Below are 25,142 nucleotides of genomic sequence, written 5' to 3'. Positions count from 1 at the left end.
ACCATCCTTGCATGCCAAGAATAAAGCCCACTTGATGGAGGTGAATTTTCTTTTTCATATGTTGTTGGGTTCAGTTTGCTAGTATTTTGTTGAGGATTTTTGCATCTGTGTTCATAAGGGATATTGGCCTATAGTTTTCCTTTTTTGCTGTGTCTTTGCCAGAAATTGGTATCAGGATGATTCTGGTTTTGTAGAATGAGTTAGGGAGGAATCCCTCCTCCTAGTTTTTTTGAGAATAGTTTCAGTAGGATTGTTACTAACTCTTCTTTGTATATCTGGTAGAATTTGGCTGTGAATCCATCTGGTCCAGGGTTTTTTTTTTTGGTTGATACGTTCTTCTTTTGTTACTGATTCAATTTTGGAACTTGTTATCGATCTGTTCAGGGTTTCCATTTTTTCCTAGTTCAATTTTGGGAGTTTGTGAGTTTCCAGGAATATTTCCATTTCCTCTAGATTTTCTTGTTTGTGTACATACAGATGTTTATAGTAGTCTGAGGATCTTTTGTGTTTCTCTTGGGTTGCTTGTAATGTCACCTTTCTCATGGCTGATTGTGGTTATTTGTGAATCTTCTTTTTCTTTGCTTAGCTAGCTAATGATCCGTCAGTCTTATTTATCCTTTCAAATAACCAACTTTTGATTTTGTTGATCCTTTGTATGTTTTTTGGCTTTCAATTTCATTGAGTTTTGCTGTGATTTTAGTTATTTGCTTTCTTCTTCTAGTTTATGAGTTTATTCTTCTGCTCGTTTTTGGAGTTTGTTTTTGTTTTTCTAGTTTTTTTAGGTGCGAGGTGAGGTTGTTAATTGGACGTCTATCTCCTTGGTGTAGACGTTTAGTGCTGTCTAGTCCTCTTAACACTGTGTTTGTCGCAACCCAGAGGTTTTGGCCTGTTTTCATTTTTTAACAAATGATTTTGTTTTCTGTCATAATTTTCTTGTTTACCCAAAAGTCATTCAGGAGCAGGATGTTTAGTTTCCATGTATTTTTTTGTGGTTTTGAGAGTCATCTTGGTATTAATTTCTATTTTTAGTCCACTGTAGTCTGAGAAGATACTTGGTATGATTTCAGTTGTTTTGAATTTGTTGAAACTTGCTTTGTGACAGAGCAATGTGGACAGTCTTAGAGTATGTTCTGTGTGCAGATGAGAAGAATGTGTACTCTGCAGTCATTGGGTTAAGTGTCCTGTAGATGTCTCTTAGGTCCAATTGGTCAAGTGTCAAATTAACTTAAGGATTTTTTGGTTAGTTTTCTGCCTTGTTGATCTATCTTATGTTGTCAGTTGGATGTTGAAGTCCCTATTATTGTGTGACTGTCTAACTCTTGTTTTAGGTGTGGTAGTTGTAGGTTAGCTGAAAGAAAGGACGAGAGAGAGAGACAGACAGACAGACAGACAGAGACACACCTCCAAGGTCAGGTGAGTAAGTTCCTTCACCTGTTGGGCTGCTCCACCACAGTCAGAGGAGGCAGCCCTGATCTTAAAAAGTGTGGTGTTTATATGGGGGAGAGAGACCCTGGGGTTGTTTGTCGGTTGACTTTACCGCATATCATTGACGGGCTTACAATATAGGAATTTACAAGAGGGTGTAACTTAGGTTTATCCACATTTCTTGTGACCTCCCCAGTGCCGCCCAGGGGGCTGTAATCAGGGTTTTGCTCAGCAAGTCTGGTGACCTTGCTGTGGCGCCTAGGTAAGGGTTCAGGAATGCAGCTGCAGAGTATTCAGGGTAAGGGTCAGCTGCATAGAGGGGCGGGGGTCCTGGGGCAGCTTGTCCCTAACAGTAGTAATTTTATAAATCTGGGTGCTCCAATGTTGGGTGTGTGTATATTGAGGACAGTTACATCTTCCTGTTGATGAACCTTTATCATAATATAATGCTCTTCTTTGTCCTTTTTTAGTGTTTTTGGTTTAAAGTTTGTTTTATTTGATACAAGAATAGCAATCCCTCTATCTTTTTTGTTTTCCATTTGTGTGATAGATCCTTCTTCAACCATTTATTTTGAGCCTATGGGTGTCATTACATGTGAGATGAGTCTCTTAAAGGTAGTAAAAGAATGGGTCTTTGTTTGCCCAATTGCCATTCTGTGTCTTTTAAGTGGAGTGTTTATTCCATTTACATTCAAGGGTAATACTGATATGTGAGGTTTTGTTCCTGCCATAGTGTTGTTAGCTAGTTGGCTTTATAATCTTGATTGTTAGTTGTTTTATGGGGTCTGGAGACCATGTGCTTACGTGTGCTTTTGTGACAGCAAGTATTGTTATTTTGTTTTCATGTTTAGAACCCCCTTAAGCTTCTCTTGTAGGGCCAGTCTCATGGTGGCAAATTTCTTTAGTGACTGTCTGGGAAGGACTTTATTTCTTGTTCACTTATGAAGCTTAGTTTGGTGGGATATGACATTTTTGGCTGGCATTTCTTTTCTTTAAGAATGCTTAAAATGGGCCCCCTGTCTCTTCTGGCTTGTAAAATTTCTGCTGAGAAGTCCGCTGTTAGTTTGATGGGTTTGCCTTTATAGGTAATATGGCTCTTTTCTCTAGCTGCCTTGAAGATTTTTTCTATTTTGGATGGTCTGATTACTATGTGTCTTGCAGATTGTCATCTTGTACAGTATCTTGCAGGATTTCTCTGGAATTTTTTTGTATCTGTATGTTGATCTCTATAGACAGATTGGTGAAATTTTCCCGAATTATTTCCTCAAATGTGTTTTCCAAGTTGCTTACTTTCATCTTTTTCAAGAATGCCAATAAGGCATAGGTTTGATTGCATTACATAATCCTGTATTTCTCGAAGTCTTTTTTTTTTTCTCCCATTTCCTTAAATTCTTTTTTCTTTTGTCTGACTGGGTGGATTTGCAGGATCGGCCTTTGAACTTTGAAACTCTCTTCTGCTTGGTCTAGTCTATTCCTAAGGCTTCCAACTGTATTTTGAAATTTTTCAATTCCAGACGTTCTGTTTGGTTCTTTCTTAATACAGCTATGTCATCTTTTGAATTGGATTGTTTTTCTGGCTTCTTTGTGTTGGATTTCATCTTTCTCTTGGACCTCATTGAGTTTCTTTGCTCCATATATATTCTGAATTTTATACTGTCATTTCAGATATTTCATTCTGGTTAGGATCCATTGCTAGGGAGCTAGTGTGATCCTTTGGATGTGACAAAACACTGGCTTTTGTATTGTCGGAGTTCTTGTGCTGGTTCCTTCTCATCTGAGGGAGCCGATGCTGCTTCTTTTTTTTTTTTTTTTTTTTTTGTTTTTGTTAATTTGCTATTGTTTGGCTCGGGCTTTTTGATTTTTAATTTCTGTTTTCCCTTGAGGGTATGACTGACGTATGTTGCTTGTGATCAGTTGGCTTTGTTTCTGGGTGCTTTCAGAGGGCCAAGGCTCTGTATGGGTTCCTTGGTTGCAGATAAATTCATATGGTGGTTTTGTCAGATATTGTTTATTGTAGCAACATATTTTTGTTTGGTGTTATGATTTAGGCTGCAGTCCAGTAGGTGGCACTTAAGATTAAGAATTGGCAGGTGGGCTCTTAACTCTGCACATGCTTACCCTCAGCAGAGGTGGAGGCGGTGGAGAAGCCTGAAAAGTGCTCCACCTTTGGTGAGGGTGTGCTCACCTTTGGTGAGGGTGAAGCTTCTGGAGAAGTCTAAGAAATGGCCCCTTTCAGACCCCGTTCCCTGGACCCCAGTGGGAAGAGCCACTGCTGTCTCTGCAACAGTGCACTGGGGAGTGGTGGGGATTAAGAGATTACCCCCTCTTCAAGTTCATTCCCAGATTTTGGTGGTCCCTCCTTTTGTGGCTGGCACCACACTTGTGTTTCCTTTGACCCAAGGTGGGTTTTGGTGGGGTGCTCTCCCTTCTCCCTCAGGGGCAGTCCCTGCCAAGGGTTAGATCTCCATGGGAGTGGAGTCTGCCTCCCTCCCGCTCCTCAGAACTAGTGAGACACTCTCCCTGAACTGTCCATGAAAGCAGACTGGGGTGCCCAGCAGTGACACACATAGACCAGTTTTAGGTTGCAGAGCTGTCCCTGGCTGCGAGTCTTGCATCCTAGGAGAAACCTCAGCTTCACAAGTCTCTTCCTGCTCCAGTCCTGTGATGGGAAAGTCTAATTTCAGTGCTTGCTGCTTGGGTGCTTTCCACACTCGCCACTCAATTCTGACTGTGAGGGTCCTTTCCCCACTCCAGGGCAAGTGCTTCAGTCTCTGGCCTGAGACTAAAATGCCTGCAATGGCTGCTGCTGCCAGGTTGCCAAACAGTGACTTACTTTGCATGAGCCCAGATTAGAAATGGCATCCTCTGGCTGGGTGTGGTAGCTCAAGCCTGTAATCCCAGCACTTTGAGAGGCCAAGGCAGGTGGATGACTTGAGGTCAGAAGTTCAAGACCAGCCTGGCCAACATGGTGTAAACCCCGTCTCTACTAGAAATACAGAAATTAGCCAGGTGTGGTGGTGGGCGCCTGTAATCCCAGCTACTCAGGAGGCTGAGGCAGGAGAATCACTTGAACCCGGGAGGCAGGAGGTTGCAGTGAGTCAAGATCATGCCACGGCACTCCAACCTGGGCAACAGAGTGAGACTCCATTTCCAAAAAAAAAAAGCATTTTCCTCTTATTCCCATGCCTGGGAAAATGCCTGCAGCTTTTCCTGGTGTCTTTTCCTGTCTCAGTCTCTCAGCCTTTTCCCAGTTTAGTGTCAGTGTTTGGGAGAAACAGGGCGCTCTCCCATGGCCTGGGTTGCACAGATCCCCAGTGGAAAGGTGAGTCACAGAGGGATACTGACTGTCCCTTTCATGTACTGGAGCTTCACTTACTTTTCTCAGCCAAATGCTGTCCCTGGGGCTGCCTGCCCACCTTCTTCTTCCTGGGTTCTGGGGTGTTCTTTGCATTCTGGTGAATCCTGTTTTCTTTCTTGAATTAAAGCTTGCAGAGTTGATCTTTATGCACTATTTTGCTAATTCCAAGTGGCTGAGGCACACTCAAAACCTCTAATCCACAATCTTGGGAAAAAAATCTGCCTGGATTGACTCTGATTGCAAATATAGAATGCCAACATTTAGTGACCTCAGACTATGTGATACTCTTGAGTATCTCTCAAAGCCTGAAAGAACTGATGCTGGGGAAGATGCCCAAGACTTATTTAGTCTAGGCTTTTTGTGTAGATTCTCTCTCTCTTTTTAAAAAAATCTACTTATTTATTTTTGATTCTCTGATTTCTATCCTTGGGTATAGTTTGACCGCTAAAAGATAATAATCTTAATAACATATTGTACTCCTTGTAGCATTGCCTTCATTGCATTATCTTTTAATACTTACATCAATTTTTAAGTAAAGTCGTTATGGGAAGCAATTATGTTAAACTTTTTTTTTTTTTTTTTTGAGACAGAGTCTCGCTCTGTTGCCGTGGCTGGAGTGCAGTGGCGCGATCTTGGCTCACTGCAATCTCTGCTTCCTGGTTCAAGCAGTTCTCCTGCCTTAGCCTCCAGAGCAGCTGGGACTACAGACATACACCACTACGCCTGGCTAATTTTTGTATTTTTGGTAGAGGCGGGGTTTCACCATGTTGGCCAGTCTGGTCTTGAACTCCTGACCTCAAGTGATCTGCCTGCCTTAGCCTCCCAAAGTTCTGGGATTATAGGCATGAATCACTGCGCCCCGGCAATTATGTTTAGCTTTCTAATGACTTTCCTGAAAAACTGTTGCTGAGAACGTTAAGTACTACTTCACACTTTGTTTTTCAGATACATTCCTATATGATACAATTCTTTATAAATTCAGTGCTACAGATACAGTTAATGAGAGGGACCTTGGATATCATGTGTTTTCAACTGTTGTACAGATGAAGAAACCATGGCTTGGAGAGGTCAACAAAAAGTAGCTAGCCTGGAACCTGGTCTAGAAATTGTGTCTTCTAACAACAGGCCCAGTTTTGTTTTGTTTTGTTTTTTAACGTTTGGAAGTTGAGTTAGCATTGACATAATGTAAAATTAGCCATTTAAAAATGAGTGATTCATTGGTATTGAGTTCATTCACCATGGTATGCAACCACCACCTCTAATTAGTGTCAGAACATTTTTATCACCCTAAAAAGAAGACTGTATCCATTAAGCCATTTTCCTCTTCCGCCCCAGCCCGTGGCAGTCACCAATCTGAGTTCTGTTACTATGGATTTATGTATTCTGGATATTTTATATAAATGAAATCACACAAACTGTGGCCTTTGTGTCTGGCTTCTTTCATTTAACATAAGTTTTTTAAGCTCATTCATATTATAGCATGTACTAGTACGTTATTCCTTTTCATGGCTGAATTATAGGTAGATACCACAATTTGTTCATTCACTGATAAACATTTGGGGCATTTCCTCCTTTTGGCTATAGTAATTAGTGCTGCTGTGAACATGTGTGTACATGTTTCTGTTTGAGTACCTGGTTTTAATTATTTTGGGTATGTACATAGGAGTGGAATTGCTGAGTCATATCATAATTCTGTGTTCAATTTTTTGAGAAACTGCCGATTGTTTTACACAGTGGCAGCACCATTGTACATACCTCCATTTTGTTTTTATCTTCCTTGTCCTCCATCATGCTGAGATCATGCTGACTTGAAAAAGAAAGCCAAAAATTAGTCGTTTTGTTTGAGGTACGAACTCTCGGTACATCTTTTGCAACAGATTTTTCAACCAGTTTTATCTGTTATTTTTCCAGTGGTTTATTGAATTGTATTTTGTTTTATTCCTTTCATTCAAACTGAGGTGAATTTCTTTTCCCTTATTATATTTATGTTCCTAAAACCTATGGGAATGATTTTGGAGGTCTAATTAAATATCAGTCTATTTATTGCACAAAATAAAAGGAAAATAATCAAAAAGAAATAGCAACACTGAAATAGTCTTGGGTACTTTGAAGGAGTTATGTTAGGTTTTAATTGACTTAAGTACAGGTCAGATCTCTTTGTCTTCTACCTTTGCTCTAGGAGTCAGTTTGTAGGGCTCGGTTTTGAGTGTCCTTAAATTTGAGGCCATCGTATTGCTGTGACATATTTACTAAAACAATTTCTTGTATTATATTTGATCAATGGATTTGTAGAAAACGTAAATGGCTTAAGATAGGTTAAATACTATTCAAATATGTCTTTTTCAACTTTTAAGTTCAGGGGTACATGTGCAGGATGTGCAGATTTGTTACATAGGTAAGTGTGTGCCATGGTGGTTTGCTGCACAGATCATCCCATCACCTGGGTATTAAGCCCAGCAACCATTAGCTGTTCTTCCTGATGCTCTCGCTCCTCCCATCCACACCTGCCAGACAGGTGCCAGTGTGTATTTTTCCCATCTGTGTGTCCATATGTTCTCATCATTCAGCTTCTACTTGCAAATGAGAACATGCAGTGTTCGGTTTTTTTGTTCCTGCATTAGTTTGCTGAGAATAATGGCTTCTAGCTCGACCCATGTCCCTACAAAGGATGTGATCTTGTTAGTCTCTTGTTCCTTTTTATGGCTGCATAGTATTCCATGGTGTATATGTACCACATTTTCTTTATCCAGTCTATCGTTGATGGGCTTTTGGGTTGAATCCATATTTTTGCTACTGTGAATAGTGCTGTAGTGAACATACATGTGCATGTATCTTTATAATAGAATGATTTCTATTCCTTTGGGTATATACCCAGTAATGGGATTGCTGGGTCAAGTCGTATTTCTGCCTCTAGTCTTTGAGGAGTTGCCACACTGTCTTCCACATGGTTGAACTAATTTACACTCCCACCAACAGTGTAAAGCATTCCTTTTTCTCCACAACCTCATTAGCATCTGTTGTTTCTTGACATTTTAATAATCGGCATTCTGACTGGCGTGAGATGGTATCTCATGTTTTTTTTAATTTTTTTTTGATTAGCATTTCTCTAATGATTAGTGATGTTGAGCTTTTCATCTGTTTCTTTTGCAAAGTGTCTCTTCATGTCTTTTGTTTGTTTAAGGGCTTTCTTTTAACACACAGAACATCGTTCCTTGCTTCAGTGCCTACTCATATTATGGTCTCTTTATCAGTTATTCTGTTCTTCACCTGGCTATATCCTTATAATTCTTGGAGACTAATCTTAGGTGTCGCATTTTCCAAGATGCTTCCTCTGACTGACCCCCCTGCCCCACCCTTTCTAGCTGAGTCAGATGATATGTTCCTTCCTAAAGTCTTGTAATAACTGAAGCATATGTCATTTTACTTACTGTATTGTTTTGTAATTATATGTATGTTGTCTCCTACAAAACTGTGAGCTTTTTGATTCCAGGAAAACTATGCTTTATTTACCTTTGAAATTGCAGAACCTTACTATCCTAGGCACATGATAGACTTCAGTAAATGTTTAGTGAATGAATGAAAGAAGCTTCTAGTTTAGAAGAGGCAAATATGCATAAATAACTATTGTAGAATTGTAAATTGTGCAGTGGAAGCAGAGAATACAATGAAAAATATATTTGGGAAGAGTGTGAGGTGTTTATGAGGGAAGGTTTGCTTCATGGGAGATAACAATTTCAGCTGGTTCTTGAGGGGAACTTGATAGAATTTTTTGCTAGGGAGTAAAAGTAATCCATCCTAGAGAACAGAAGCAAGAGAGCAAGTCATGATCATGGAAAAGCCAAGTATTTTAGAATCTTTCTCAAAGGTCATTTTGGCAGTAAGGAGGATGGAATACAGGGAGAAGCAGTAATGATATAGTCATGCAGCTATAATGAAGGTTTTGTGTCAAGCTTTGGCTGTGAGGAAGGGAAGGTTTCAAAAGATACTTAAGATATAAAATGGTCAGGCAGGCCCTGATAGCTAATTGGCTGAAAAATTCCAAGAGGATAATCCAAGGCAACTCTAGAATTTCTCTTCTCAGTAATTGGGTAGGTATTGATGCCTCCTTTTAAAAAAGTAAAGGAATATAGGAAACATTTGGGATCTTGAATGAATTTAATTTTGGACATGATAAGTTTATGATCTTTATGACAAATTCAGGTAGGAGCGTTCAGTGTGTAGTTGAATATAAGTTTCTGAAACTCAGGAGATATTTCTGAGCTGGAGGCACAGTTTTGGAAGTCACAGTACATATGGGTGGACATATAAATGGTGGACTAGAAAACTCAAGGATTGCATATCTAGTAAGACTATAAGAAGGTAAAAACAGAACCCTGGGAATTGCAAGCTTTCTTCTGCTTAAAGGTAATCAAGGGCATACTTGCAAACTAGTGTTAATTTTTCTTGGTCCCTTTTATTTCCTGTATGCTTTCCCAACTTTAATCAAAATGGCAGTAAAATTATGTTGAGATATCATGTCTTGGACTCAGCATCAGATAAACCTTATAGCAAGTGTGGGGCTGTAGCAGTACTAAAACATTCATGGCTTATTTTCAGGGGGGGTGTTGCTGCCTACTCAGTTTTATCCAGTTATTGCCTTGCAGGTGTGCAATTCCACCGATTCCTGATTCCAGATATTTCTGTTTTTCAAGAAAAGCCAGAAATCCTGATTTTTACAGATTTTTAAATGCTTACTCAGAATTTTAAAAAGTGCTGTTGTTGGTCAGGTAAAACATTGTCAGTTTCTGATCCCTTTCTCAATCCTTACATTCTCTGTAACAAAGAGCAACTAGTATCACCTTCTGAGGTATTGAAATGTACTTGTTTCTGTTGCATACTAGGATGAAAGAAAAAACTTGACTGGAAGCTCCAGAAAATTATAGTGGAAAAGGAGACAGACTGAGTCCCTGGGCTTAGAAGATTTAGAGATTGAGTGAGTAATAGAGGTTATAAGTCAGATGGGCTGAGACCCATCTTTAGTGACTGTACTGGCAGTGAATCAATCATTGCCACCTTTGGCTCCTTGTTTGCTGAGGTCTTGTTGTTTCTGGGACTTGAAACTGGAATGGTTTTTAGGGAGGATTTTTTTCTATTATTTTGTCCTGCATATTTTAGTACAAAATTATAAACACAATACAAAAAATACTTGGTGTTTCGCCCCAAGAACATAACCAACATGAATGGAAATGTTTCTGTCAGCTTGTGGCTTTCAAAATCTGAACACCTGATACACCAAATGAACTCACAGGATGATTTGTTAGGGCTGACTGTATTATCTTTATTTATTTATTTATTTTTGTTGAATCAGTTTAAAGAATTTTTACAGGAAGTCTCCTATTTATTCTATAGAAAAATCAAGGAGGTAATTGGAACTGACCTTTGGCTCTTCTGTTGGTTGACCCTGTGGAAATAAAGAGTTATGATTCCTTGAGTTTGTGTGTTCACTTTTAGGAACAGATTTCTCTGGAAGTAAATTCCACTTGTATAACAATTAGATCTTACAGTTAAAAATTATAATTAAAAAATGTGTCACAAGATATTATAATTTGATCATTGATTCTTGCTCTAACCACCTTTTGGCCATATCAGATTATGAGAGGAAGTTAAGGAGTAGGCCTCCTGAGTAAAGGAGGTGTGATTTTTTTTTTCTTTGAGGTGGGAGTATAGTTGGAACTAAATAAACTACGTGTGAATTTACCATATCAACTAAAATTTTGATCAAATGGTTTTTTTAAATTGTGTGGTACATATTTTATATATATTTATAGTTTCCCTTAAGGTTTTCTATACCAGAGTTGTTGATCTATTATTTCCTTATACTAATGTTAGGGATGATAAAAGCTATGAGATGAATCTAAGCAGTTAATTTTAATATCATGTGGAAATAGTTTTGTCTATGTTTTATTAAATGTCGAATGAATTGTGACTTTTACATTTTTTTTCTCTTTCATTTGTTCTTTTGGGCACTGATAAGTCTAACCATGTATCAGTTTATTATAATTCATGGCTAGTGCCATCTGGCTGTCGTTCTCCCTCTTTTGTAAAATCATCTTGTACTTGTGATTATTTATATATGGTTTTAAAATTACTTTTTGGAAACTCTTGAATAGTGCATTTATCCCACACAAACTAGTATATGTTGAGTAAGAATCATATTCTTTCTTTATTATCATTTATAAATGAAATATTTATATATATTTAGACATGCCAGAGCAAGGTAAAGTGGTATATGCTGGTAGTCCCAGCTACTCAGGAGGCTGAGGTGGGAGGATCCTGTGAGTCTCAGAATTGGAGGCTGCATTAAGCTGTGATGGCACCACTGCATTCCAGTCTGGAAGAGAGTGAGAGACTCCATCTTTTTAAACAGACAAAATCTGTAAAAGTGTAAATAGCCTTGAGCGTTGGGCTTAGGTTCACTAAACAAATGTTATTTTATATTCTCCTGTTGAATCAAGAGTTTTAAAGAGTACTTTCCCTGTGGGTACACTGTTGAGCAGCCTCAACATTTGTGAATATTTGTTCACTTCAAGTTTTTGTTTTTGGAATTTACCAAAACTTTAGCATATAAAGTTAGTAACTGGTTTTGGGTAGTACTATTTTGGTGGAAAGAATTGGGTAATTGTAAATAAAGGAGATTAATTTTTATTGTTCACCTGCAAAACTGCCTTTTGAAGACAATTTAAAAGGAGTTCTAAAAATATTTAAGCTCTAAAGGCATTATCTTTTCTGTATTCCCCAAACACTCTGTGAATCAATGTGGTATTTACTACACTTATGTTATCATTACATGTATATTTTACCTTTTTAGCTTCTGAGCATATTAGGGGCAGAAACTGCCTCATTCATCTTTGTATCGTTAAGGCCTAGCACATACCCACCTAGTAACAATAGAATCAATATGAAGCCTCCAAAATAATTGGGTTGGAGGACAGTAGTTTTTATATTAAATGTACTCATACCCACACATAAAATAGAATACTAAGGCTCATTACTTAGTTTCATATTTAATTTTTTTCTTAATTGTATAGCCATGCATATGTTGCTGCACTATAAACTAATCATAGGAGTATATAGCATTGTATCTGAAGCCATCAGGTGAGACTGAGGAGGAACACTTTAAGGTCCTTTGCCTTTTCACTGTCCTTTCCCTCCTTCCCTTGGTCTCCCCTTTTCTCTCCTTTTTCCATTCCTTCCCTCATTTCACTTGTCTAGTTAGTAATTTTCATACTTAATGAGCAGCTTCTGTGTACTTGGCCTTGGTTACATTATTATTTGATGCTGAATGAGACAGGGTTCCACATCAGGAGCACATTTTATTGAAATTACCTGGAGAAGAACGTTCAACTTATTGTACATAGAATAACGTGGGAGGAAAACAGTCTGTACTTGTTATAAGACCACTCTTCTTATGGCTACTTATTTTTATTGTTGAACTATATATATAATTTCTGTGACTCAAGTTGGCACTGAAGTAGTATCAACTAAGATTCTTAGCCCTGTTTGGCAGCCTTAAGCCATATAATGTATTTAAATATACCAGGTGAATATAAGTTGGAGAGTGGTTGACCCCATTCTAGTGAGATTGATCTCAGAGTCGAAGTTCCTTTCTATGGTAGTTCTGACAGTCTATTCTAAGATAGCTGGTATAAAACAGCTGATCTAAAACTGCATTTTCCACTTAACCCCCACTCTCCACATGAACCAGGATAATCTACACCTGAATTAGCTGAATTAAGCACTGATAACCTAGGCCTAAATTAAGCACTGATAACCTAGGCCTAAATTAAGCACTGAATTAGTTGTGTGATTGTGAAGAGTTACTGAACCAGTCTGCTACAACTAGACTTGAGAGATGATGTCACAACTCAGCCCCTTCATGGTGCTGATGGGTATTCTGGATCAAAGAGAGGGTTAGTGATTTTGCAAAGGTTATGCAGAAAGTTAGCGGCAATCTGGAATCTGTGATTTCTGACTCTTAAGTATTTTATTATGCTGCCTTTCCTATCATAAATATCTTTTTAGGATCAAATGAGATAAATGTCAGTACGCCTTGATAGGCAGAAAATATCACCAGATAAATTATTTCTACTTCCTTTCTTTGGTCAGGATGCATATGTGATTTTTTGCATTGCCATTTCTTAATTTTCAGAATCATGGAAGTCGAGGTCATTTTTTATGTTTTTTTGTGTCCCTGAGTTCAAACCAACACAGGTAGATTATCTAAGCATACTAGTAAGTAGACACCCTTTGAAACTTAAATTTTTTCCATTATGTATTTAGAAGATACATGGATAAATTGATTTTCAGACCAGGAATTTATTATATTCACTTATTGCAGGTAGTTTTCTGACTACTTTCTTGGGAGGCATATTAAGCTGATTAATATTTAGATAAAAGCATTCATTTATGATATTAACATTTTTTTCTGTGACTTTTAAGACAATTGTCAGCTGACAAATTTTATGGGTTAAAGAGTCAAGATTTGTTTAGTATCAGATCTTACCCTGATAGCTGTGTGACCTTGGGCAATTTTTAAAAACTTTTTTATTGTTTAACTTTGCATAATAATAGTGATTAAGCCAAAATTGACCTTGGACTGTGAACTCATTTACTCCCCACAGTAACCACATGACATAGGTGAGGAAATGAAGGCATGTAGTGGTTACACAACTAATGGTAAAGGTGAGATTTGAATTCAGCTAGTCCTAACTCCTAAGTCTGTAGTTTTTGAGCACTATGCTGCTGCCTTCTACTGCTTCATAAGTTGTTCTGAGGTGTATGATTTCCACAGCATTTTAGATTTTAAAATTGTGATTAAGATTTTATGGCCTAGAGATTAATTTAGGGAAAATTATAAATATATAATTGTCCTTCCTTCTAAACAGTTTTGGTAGCTTGTTAGAAATGAGAGAACTATAGGCCCTATCCCAGACACACTGGATCATAATCTGCATTTTAAGAAACTGTATTTAATATCCTTAAAGTTTGAGAAGTATTGCAGTAGATGATCTTGAGAGTTTCTTCCAATTCACAGTTGTGAGTGATTCTGGGACCAGTCAGCATGGATATCTCAATGTTGATTATTGTATTTAGCAAAGAAAATGGTACTATATTAAAGTAGCAGTTCCCAACCTCTGTGGCACCAGGGACCCCCAGTTTCATGGAAGACAATTTTTCCATGGCCTGCGAGGTGGAGGGGATGGTTTCAAGATGAAACTCTCCCACCTCAGATCATCAGGCATTAGTTAGATTATCATAAGGAATACTCAACCTAGAGCCCTCACATGCACAGTTCACAATAGGTTTCACGTTCCTATGAGAATCTAATGCTGCTGCTGCTCTGACAGGAGGCAGAGCTCAGGTGCTAATGCTCGCGGCATGCTCACCTCCTGCTGTGCGGCCCAGTTCCTAATGGTCTGCAGCCTGGGGGTTGGGGACTCCTGTATTAAAGAATTTTAAAAATGTAAATCACTGTCATATAGATTTGTCTGTATTCTTTGGATTCCATTATAGGACAACTCTTGAGATAATACTTGTTTGAATTTGTGAAAGGTTTCTTATATAGAAGAAAATTACCCTAAATTTTATCCTGTATCATTTTAGGAAATAATTAGAACCCAATTATTTTTATGTGGCATTAGATCAAATGTTTTTCCTAATTTATCTCACTAATAAGATTATAATGTCAGCCAGTTATACATATGAGAACACTTAGAATAACATAACTTGATTTTTGGACAATTCGCTATTCTGATGTTTCAATGAACAGTTTAACATTTGAAGTTAACTGTTGTAATAGATTAACTACCAAGCAAATTAGCACTGCACTTGCTTGATTAGAAAAGCCTAATTTTTGTAGTCTGTGGAATTTAAAAATTTCTCTCAAACTTAATTAAGGAAAGAATCTTTTTTTTCTAAAAAAAAAAAAAAAAAAAAAAACCATGACAGTAATGACTGTTTTTTCACTGTTAAATTATCACCTGGCACATTGCAGAAATTCACAGAATAGTTGTTGAATGAATGAATAGGACTTTGGTTTAGGTGATTTTGCTACTGTTTTCAAATGAATAATAAAACACCTGTTAGAATATGAAAAGTTGAGTTTTTAGAAAAATCAAGTATTTCCCCTTGTTGACAAATTGGTGCATGAATCTTCTCCATATCAACTCATTTTGACTCTTTTTTGAAAATTTCTTTAATTGTGAAAGATATGATTTGTACATAAGAGAGAATAAAACATTTATACAGTTTAGTCCTAACAACTGGTTAAAAAATAGAATACTGGGGGATGCAGAGCAGGATGGCCAAATAGAAGCCTCCACTGATTGTCCTCTCCACAGGAACAACAAATTGAACAACTATCCACATATAAAGCACCTTCATAAGAACCAAAAATCAGGGACTGATCACAGTAGCTGGTTTTAACTTCATATTGCTGCAAGAGGCACTGAAGATGGTAGGAAGGACAATATTGAATTGTCAATGCCACCCCTCCCTCATCCCCTGGCAGAAGCTGAGTGGTGCAGAGAGAAAATCTGTGCACTTAGGGGAGGGAGAGCACAGTGATTATGGGACTTTGCATTGGAACTCAGTGCTGCCCTGTCACAGTGGAAAGCACCACTGGGCAGAACCCAGCCAGAGCCTATGGATGAAGCATTTGGACCAGTCCTAGGCAGAGGGAATTGCCCATCCCAGTGGTTGGAACCTGAGTCCAGCAACCCTTGCCACTGCTGGCTAATGTGCTCGGGGGTCCTAAGTAAACTTGAAAGGCAGGCTAGGCCACAAGGAGTGCAATTCCTGGGCGAGTCCTGGTGCTGTGCTGGGTTTGGAGCCACCGCACCACCCAGTGAGACACCAGCTGGGGCGACGAAGAGAGCACTTGCACCACCCTTCCTCCCACCCCAAGTAGTGCAGCTTGCAGGTCCGGGAAAGACTCCTTCTCTCTGCTTGAGAAGAGGAGAGGGAAAAGTGAAGAGGATTCTGTTTTGCAACTTGGATACCAGCTTAGCCACAGTAGGACAGGGCACCAGGCAGAGTCCTGAGGCCCCTGTTCCAGGCCCTACCTCCCAGACCGCATTTCTAGACACACCTTTGGCCAGAAGGGAACCTACTGCTTTGAAGGGAAGGACCTAGTCCGGGCAAGATTGATTGCCTGCTGACTAAAGAGCCCTTGGTCCCTGAATAATCAGTAGCAGTAGGTACCCAGGCAGTACTTTCCCTGGGCCTTGGGTGAGATTCAGAGACATGCTGGCTTTAGATGTGACCTAGTACATTTCCAGTTGTGGTAACTATGCGGGGGGACTTCTTCTGTTTGAGAAAAGGAGAGGGAAGAGTGAGGGGACTTTGTGTTGCACCTTAGCTACCAGCTTGGTTACAGTGGAATAGAGCACCAAGTGGGCTCTTGGGGTCCCTGATTCTAGGCCTTGGCTCTTGTATAGCATCTCATGACCTACCCTGAGCCAGAGGGGAGCCCATTGCCCTGAAGGGAGAGTCCCAGGCCTGGCAGCATTCACCACAGCTGACAGAAGAGCCCTTGGTCCTTAATGAACGTTGGTAGCCAGGCAGTACTTGCCATGGGCCTGGGGACTGTGCTTGCTGTAGGGAGAGACTCCTCTACTTGTGGAAAGGGGAGGGAAGAATGGGAAGGACTTCATCTTGTGGCTTGGGTGCTAGCCCACCTGCAGTAGAGTAGAGCAGCAGGTAGATTCCTGAGGTTTCCACCTCCAGACCCTGGCTTCCAGAAGCATCTCTTGACCTGCCCAGGAATGGGAGAAACTCTCCACCTTGAAGGGAAGGACACAAGCCTATCTGGCTTCACTGCCTGTAGATTGTAGAGTCCTAGGGCTTCAAGTGAACATAGGCAGTGGCCAGGCCATGGTTACCACAGGCCTCGGGTGTGACCCAGTGCTTTGTTGACTTCAGGTATGATCCAGTGCCATCACAGTGGAGGTAGCAACAGGGTTGCTTGTGTCACCCCTCTCCCAGCTCCACACAACTCAGCAGAGAGACTGACTCTGTTTGGGAGAATGTAAGGGAAGAAAGCAAGAGTTTCTGCCTGGTAATTTAGATAATTCTTCCACATCTTATTTAGGACCATAAAGGCAATACCACTACAAGTCTTTCAGAGCCACAACATTAGTAGGCTTAGGGTGCCTCTAATGTATATATGGCTACAGTTACTAGAAACATAGATCACAACACCCAAGTTCCTTTGAATACCTGGAAAGCCTTCCCAAGAAGGACTGGGACAAACAAGCCCAGACTGTAAAGACTGCAATAAATGCCTAACTCTTCAATGTCCAGACATCAGTGAACATCCACAAGCATCAAGACCATTCAGGAAAACATTGGCCTCACCAAATGGACTAAATAAGACACCACAGACCAATCCTGGAGACAGAGATATGTGTCCTTTTGGGTGGAAAAATCAGAATAGTTGTTTTGAGGAAGTACAACAAAATTCAAGATAATACAGAGAAGGAATTCAGAATCTTATCAGATAAATTTAACAAAGAGATTAAAATAATAAATAGAATCAAGCACAAATCTTGGAGTTGAAAAATGCAGTTGACCTACTGACGAATGCATCAGAATTTCTTAACAGAATTGATCAAGCAGAAGAAGGAATGAGTGAACTTGAAGACAGGCTAATTGAAAATACACAGAGGAGAAAAAAGAATAAAAAGGAATGAGGCACAACTACAAGATCTAGAAAATAGCCTCAAAAGGGCAAATTTAAGAGTTATTGTCCTTAAAGAGGAGGTAGAGAGAGAGTTAGGCGTAGAAAATTTATTCAGATAGATAATAACAGAGAGCCTCTCAAACCTAGTAAAAGATATCAATATTAAAATACAAGAAGGTTATAGAACACTGAGCAGATTTAACCCAAGACTACCTCAAGATACTTAATAATCAAACTCTCAAAGGTCAAGGATGAAGAAAGGATCCTAAAAGCAGCAAGAGAAAAAGAAAAAAACATGGAATGGTGCTCCAGTACATTTGCCAGCAGACTTCTCAGTGGAAGTTGTACAGGCCAGGAGAGAGTGGCATGCCATATTTTAGTGTGGATTAGGAACTTCAGCAAAGTATTATCAGAGGAACTGAGTGTCTCTGTACTTTATTCTAAATAACTATGTCCTACTTACCCGCTCTTAGAAGGAAGTCAGAGGACACTTCTGTAGGTGAAATAGTATTCCCCCCTGATTCAGAGAGAAGAGAGCATGGAGGCAGAGCAGAAACTTCGTTAGCAGGCATTCTGTCCTTTGGTTAAAAGATAAAAGTGGCCAAGATGTGGAAAAAGGATAATAAAACACAAAGGAATAAGAGTTGTATAACTCTGAGGGACGTAAAAGAAGGTATGATTAATGGAAAAATGTCATTTTGGGGTAGGAAGACTCAGTATTATATGTCTCCCTAAATAAATCTTATCCAGGATTTCTGTTTATTTGTCATCTAATCATTTAGAGTTGCTTAGACCAGCCCTACACAGTTGCTTTATTTTTCTCCATAGCACTTATCCCCGTGTGATATAACTATATATTTACTTAATTTTCTTTTTCCCCACTTCTGGAATGTAAACTTATGAAGGTATGTGAACTTATGTGGGTATGCTTGTGTTTCTTTCCTTACTAGAATGTAGATTTATGGGGGTATGTTTTATCCCTTATGGTATCCCCACTACCTTGAGCTGTGCTTGGCACGTAGGAAGCAATGACTGGTGAGTGAATGAATGAATAAATAAAGCCCTCCTTTCTCTCATAATCCACAGCACTTACTGTCTGTTCTGTAGTTTTTTGGTCATTAATTTTGTTCAGTTTAGCATCTTATAATGCTTTCTATTATTTTCTTTTGGTTCAGTATCTAATTGTTTCATTCCTATAGGAGATTCTTCTCTATGCTCCTTGACGGCATGAGTGGGACAAATGCTTCCTTTGTGTACTACCTCACAGTGCAAGGCGAATGGATGTAGGAACTTGTTGAATTGAACACATGTATTTATTCATAATGACTTAAGTTGCCAAATTCTAGTTTGCCTTTAATAAAAGGCGTTTTTTTTTTAATTGGCTAAAACAGTATAATTCTGTATGAAATAGGTTTTTTTTTTAATGTATGGATACTTTTTGGTGATGTTTTGTTGAGCTCATAGTAAATTTCGGTAACTGGAAGTTGGAACTTTTGTAATTATAATTGTATGAGTTTCTATACGTAATTTGAGTAAAATAATATCACAATTTTCAATGAGATAATTTCTTACCTTGAAATTTAAATTTCTAATAAAATGTCTCCTTATGCTGTAGTTATATTGGGAGCTAGTTTCAAGATGAAATACTAATTCTAAGTAAGTATAACTTTGTAGCCTACTTATCCTTTTGTATATGCATTTGCAAATATAAATGTACAGATGTTTTTGTACATACTTTGTTGTATTTCTCATGCTAGGATTTCATTTAACAGTTTGTATAACTATTTCTGTCCTGTACCTTTGCATTGCCACTAGGATTTTTTAAAAAAGTAATTGCAGATGCTCTGTAAATCTCTCTATACATATAAATTTTGTATATTGTTTTGTGGAGATAAATTTTCAAGTATACACTTCACATTTTCAAAAGTTACTGAAATAATACCATGAATGTTTACAAGAAGAAATTTAAAACTATGTAAAAGTTTTGTTGGTTCTTTTCTAATTCATGTGGAGAATTATTTACTAATTTACTTATATTTTTTCTGTATTTCAGGCCAGTCTATCCATATGGGGATGGGGAAGCCTTGGCATTGTCCTTTTTCTGATAACCTTTGGACCCTTTGTAATATTTTATTTGACATTTTATATCCTCTGCTTTGTGGGTGGGTAAGTATACTCAATTATAATTTTATAATTCATGTGTCATATCTTGTTAAAATGGAAACAAATGACTGAGAAACGGGAGTATGATTTATTTGTGAATGCCATTTTTAATAAATTGCTTTTACTAAAGTTAAAAAAATAAGGATACCCATAAAAATAAAAACAGTGATTGTCATTATTTGTATCAGAAATATGGGTAGTCCTTCAATAATAAGATGTCCATTTCCAAAGGTATGAACTTTTTTTGGTGATAATGTGTAAAGTTTAAAAAATTTTTCAAATTCCTTTTGGTGGTGTTTCTCCTTTAAAGTTGAAATTTTCTTTTGCATTATGTTAATAAGTAAGTTAAATTGAGACTGCACATGAAGTTTTACATTATAGAAATTGTGATTAGACTTCAAACAAATGTTAATTTTTTCCTTTAATGAATGTTGTCATTTCGGTCTAGAAAATTCAAATACCTGATTTTGCAGTTTTCTCTTCATAGTTATTTGGTGTACGTTTATGTTTTCCCTTAAGTTGATAAACCTTTACAAGAGAGGTTTCAGTCATAATTTATTGTAGCTTTGTATGCAGAGCATTTGGTATCAGACACGAATTACAAGGAAATATTAGAAAATATATAGACAAGGGATGTTTGTTAGACACTGTTACCAAAATAGCTTAGTTGAAATGAGTCTTTTGTTGTTAATGTGTTTGTATGTATGTTTATAATATGACGTATTTATGTAGTTAGTTGTGGAATGAACACTGATTTCTTTCTGAAAAATCTTTTGAGACCCCAGATATTTGGAGGAGTTTTTTGAGCCTATAGGTTTGGAGGATTTAGCTGAATTGAATAGCATATATAAACAGTAGCTTGAGAAACTGTATAGGACACTGAAGGGTTAGCTTCTAAATATATCTATCACTTTTTTGGGGATACAGATTTGATAGTCATGTTGTAGTCTTTCTATAGGGAGCATATGCTTGAACAAGTGAGAATTTCTTTAATTGAGCAGCTATGTCAAGGACTCTCCATAAAACTGTATTTTATGTTAGATTTAGTATTTTCATATCTATGGCCTAGATACGATACTGTGTACTGAAACATTTAAACTTATTTCAGCCATAAGAGTCTGATAATGGAGTTCAGAATATCTTTATTGATGATAAAGATGACTGAAGATGATAAAGATGATTGAAGATACTACAGATCTGCAGCCAAATGGGTTTCCTAATTATACTTCTCAGTCACAGTTAAGGCGACAGCATGGCTGAATAGTGACATGGTTGCACCTCTCCCTCTCAGAGTCGAGGCTGCATTTATTAATTGGAAGGGAAATTGTCTTGACATTTTTTTTTGAAAGGTAGAAATTTCTTCTAATTTCACTAATTGTATTAGCCCTTGTAAGATTGAAGGAAAAGGATTTCAGAGTATTTCCCAATACTTTGTCAAGGGAGGATATTGCAGCTTTATAGGCTAAGGTAGGAGCCCTTGGAAGGTGGGTAAGTGAATAATTATTTCTTTTTTTACTCAACTGCTCCAAATAAATTTAGGAAAAAGAGAAGAGTAATCAGTTTATTAATTTTTTAAGTTTTTAATCTTTAATAAAACCAGATCCTGCACAAAGTTTATTCATTTTTAAAGTCATGAGAACCTTCATTGTTCCTTTTTTAAATGTTGTAGTTTATCAAGGAATAATTTCAAAAAATCTTTTGGATGCTTACAAAGTTCTGTAAAAATTTGGAGATAAGGTGGGATACTAGAGGATAATGGGTACTAAAAAACTCTAGAGAATATTAAGAGTCACATGGTAGGGTCTGTGGAATCCTCTCTTGTTTTTCTAATAAAACTTAAGTTTTTAACTTGCATAGTTTATTCTTGTCAAGTGTTGATAATGTCTATATTTTGCTTATAGTCAAAGTTAACTCCTTATTTTTTAATATAAAGAATGCTTTTGGAAAGAAAAACACTTGGGGATTTTTCGTTTTTGTTGTTGTAGGATACTTTCATCTTACTGCATTATGGTTATTTTGTGGCATTCTGTTGTATTTGTTGGGTTATATAATTAATTTATGGCACCCAACTACAGTTTAAATTATTACTTAAACTTTACAGCTGAAACTACTATTTAGGTTCTTTTAAAATCAGACTGCTCTTTATCTTGTCTTCCTATCGTTACACACTTGTGGGCAAAAATTAATGTCTTATCAGTCTGTTTCTTGATGATGTTTTTAATAACACAGTGTTAATATAAACATTTTATTTTGTCTATAAATATGCTTAATAACCAGGTAAAACTGAAATAGAGGGCCAACTTGAATCTTAATAATAATATCAGATATAACACAGATAGATGACATTTAGCAGTAATTCTGAGACCAGCCTTTTACAAATAACAAAAACAGAATTAATGACTTAAACTGATTTGACTTTATCCATGTTCTCAACCCCCAACCCCTGCTTTTGTGATACTTGTACTGAGGACTAGTGAGAGGGCAGGTAGACACAAAAATTGGAGGACTTTGAGAATCTTCCTTTCAGTAGTTGAGACTGACAATATTTAATGTTTTACTGTTCCCTTCCTGTCATTACAGTCTTTGAATCATTGTAACATTACTATAAGATCATTATTAGATTAAATGTTTTTTGATGGATTTCCAACACTTTGCTTTATTGGTAAATTTAAAATCTATGAAATATTGATAATATTTAGTCAATACTTAGAGTGAAGTAGTTCTAAATCACCATTTATCTTCCTTGATCCTGTAATTATTTTTCAAAATAATTAACTTTTTTTGGGATACATTTATATTTTCTTAATTCCAGCCTTATTTTAAACAAATCATAGATTAGATTTTTTTTTCCCTAAATAGCCTTTATGTATTCTGTATTCATACTGGAAAGTTATAATAATGTAATACCTCACGTGAATTGGTTAACAGAACTATAGAATTCTGTCATTTAGCTACATATTTAGATTCATTTGTCTTTATCCATGGTTATTAGCTAGCCTACTTGTTTAATAAGGGCTGATTTTTCTTTTCTTTTTTTTTTTGAGGCGAGTCTTACTCTGTCGCTAGAGTGCAGTGGCGCGATCTCGGCTCACTGCATCCTCTGCCTCCCCGGTTCAAGCAATTTTCCTACCTCAGCCTCCTGAGTAGCTGGGATTACAGGTGCATGTCACCACACCCAGCTAATTTTTGTGTTTTTAGTAGAGACGGGGTTTCACCATGTTGGTCAGGGTGGTCTCGATCTCCTGACCTCAGATGAGCCACCTGCCTCGGCCTCCCAAGGTGCTGGGATTACAGGTGTGAGCCACTGTGCTCAGCCTGATTTTTTTTTAAGTTTGAAAAATGTCACTTAAGTTTTTTTTTTTTTTTCGAGACAGTCTTGATCTGTCACCCAGGCTCAAGTGCAGTGGCGTGATCTCAGTTCACTGCAATCTCTGCCTCCCAGGTTCCAGCGATTCTCCTGCCTCAGCCTCCCAAGTAGCTGGGACTACAGGTGCAAGCCACCACCCTGGCTAATTTTTGTATTTTTAGTAGAGACGGGGTTTCACCATGTTGGTCAAGCTGGTCTCGAACTCCTGACCTTGTGATCCTCCTGTCTTGGCCTCCCAAAGTGCTGGGATTACAGGCATGAGCCACCACACCTGGCCTTGTCACAAGATTCTTTAGGAAATATATTGGATTAAAACTTTAAAAAGTATTATTGTATAATTCACAAAATGTTCATAGTTGTTTTAAACTTCAGAACCTAATACAATCTGTCAATTTCTTGCTTTGCCAAAGTCACAAATTGACTTTTTAGTAAATGATAAGCCATCTGTGAACTCTGGAAAATATACTTGGTAGTAGATTCATTAAATTATAAGGAAATTTTGTTTTTATATTTGTGATTAAATTTTTCTTTCTAGGGGTTTAGTGGTTACTCTCCTGTTTGGAAAAACAAACTCAGAGAAGTACCTAGAACAGTGTGAACACTCATTTCTTCCTCCAACATCACCTGGGGTTCCTAAGGTAAATCGTTTGAGGGAATATAAAACCTCAAAGTCCAGTTCTTTGCAATGATAATAGAGTAATCATCTGTATATATAGCGTGACAAATTTTCGTATAGTTTACTAATGCTCACTGGGAATTTATGTGAGATTGTCTAATTATACTTAGAAAATATATTTTAAAAGGCCATCTTAAAAACTTTCTTAGTGTTAGATTTAAAAAGTGGGAATACAAACTTGAGAAAACGATAGAAATTGGTTAGTTTATTTTGGGTATTTTTCCTGCTGTCTTATCATAGTATTTCAAAGCATCATGCATATGATTTTTAACAATGTCAATGAGTATTCTGGTTTGAATGAAATAAATTGCAGAGGAATCAGAGGAAAAAATGGATACTTTTCATTACTTTGAAAAATACAGCTTGTAATTAGATTATGCAGTATCTATAATTTTAATAATTCAGGCCTAATTTTTATCATCTTGAATGGTGCTATTATTTTTTCAGTATCATACTCTATAAATAAAATTGGAATTGTGTAAGTTTCAGATTGTAGTGCCTTCAATTCTTGTGCAGTTGGGTTGGTTTCATTTTGTATGAAGAGAGGCAGATGGCCTGGAGTTGATGCTAATAACAACTTTCTTTACAGTTATTAATTTATCTGTTACATGCTAAGGTGCAGGAGATGTAGAAGTAAATAATGTCCAATATTATTTTACATTAATAAAAGAATTTCACTCTATTCCACTGACTTTTATATTGATAAACAAATTTTTTAATACTTAAACTTTTTTATAATCTGAAACCTTTCTCTCCTTTAGGACTCATATTAATATGTATTTTTTTTTTTTTACTTATAAGTCTTAGGAAATTAACCTTTCCTTTTTTGAACCATTTCTTAGCTATTTATAGTGTACTTCATTTGAGTGGCATATACAGAGAATAGGAAATATTTTAAGAATTAAGATCCTTAACAGTAATAAATTATATTCAAGAATGGTTAAGTCTTTATAATCCATTTTTAATAGATAGTATAAAACAATGGGTTTTATTTGCTATTTCTAAAATATGATTTCTAAGTATGTCTTATGAAAAAATATCCGTGGTTTCATATTATAACTTTGAAGCATGTATTTTTAATATAGATATCTATGTCTATATCTGTATCTATGTTTATATATATTTATGGTTTGTTTTTTTAAGAATCTCCCACTACCTTTTCCCCAATTTTCAGGCCACTGATCTTTCTGAACACAAAAAAGTAGAGAAGTACATTTTCTTAAGTTGCCAAAACTATCCCTACATAAAATCCGTTTAAAAATTAATTATTTTGCAGCTGGTATACTGTTTTGGGCTGGGAAAGGGGAGGGGCAAGAGGGAGAGTGTCCAGTAAAGACAGTTTGACTCACATGAAACACTAATTTTATAGTTGTAGAGTTTCATTGAAATATGGCAGCAGCATACCTGTACATTTGCAGTTTTCCCACATTCT

The 25,142-nt window shown here is 37.2% G+C and overlaps 1 protein-coding gene across 14 annotated transcripts in view; it reads left to right on the top strand.

Annotated features, from left to right (window-relative positions):
- Positions 1 to 25,142, top strand: part of SNX13 (sorting nexin 13) — a 149,734-nt gene that overhangs the window by 23,491 nt on the left and 101,101 nt on the right. For 13 of the 14 annotated variants that reach the window (NR_146932.2, NR_146933.2, NM_001350863.2 and 10 more), the window contains exons 2-3: positions 19,558 to 19,670; positions 23,570 to 23,672. Coding sequence is in view for 7 of the 14 variants with exons in the window: in XM_017011893.3 (XP_016867382.1) it covers positions 19,558 to 19,670; positions 23,570 to 23,672 (216 nt within the window). In the remaining 7 variants the exon portion in view is untranslated. Of the gene's footprint in view, positions 1 to 9,670; positions 9,756 to 19,557; positions 19,671 to 23,569; positions 23,673 to 25,142 lie in introns of those variants that run through there. The other variant, XM_047420073.1, reaches the window with a different exon arrangement.

The sequence above is a fragment of the Homo sapiens genome, chromosome 7, assembly GCF_000001405.40.
Source record: "Homo sapiens chromosome 7, GRCh38.p14 Primary Assembly".
NCBI lineage: Eukaryota > Metazoa > Chordata > Mammalia > Primates > Hominidae > Homo > Homo sapiens.
This window is presented reverse-complemented; position numbering and strand designations above follow the sequence as displayed.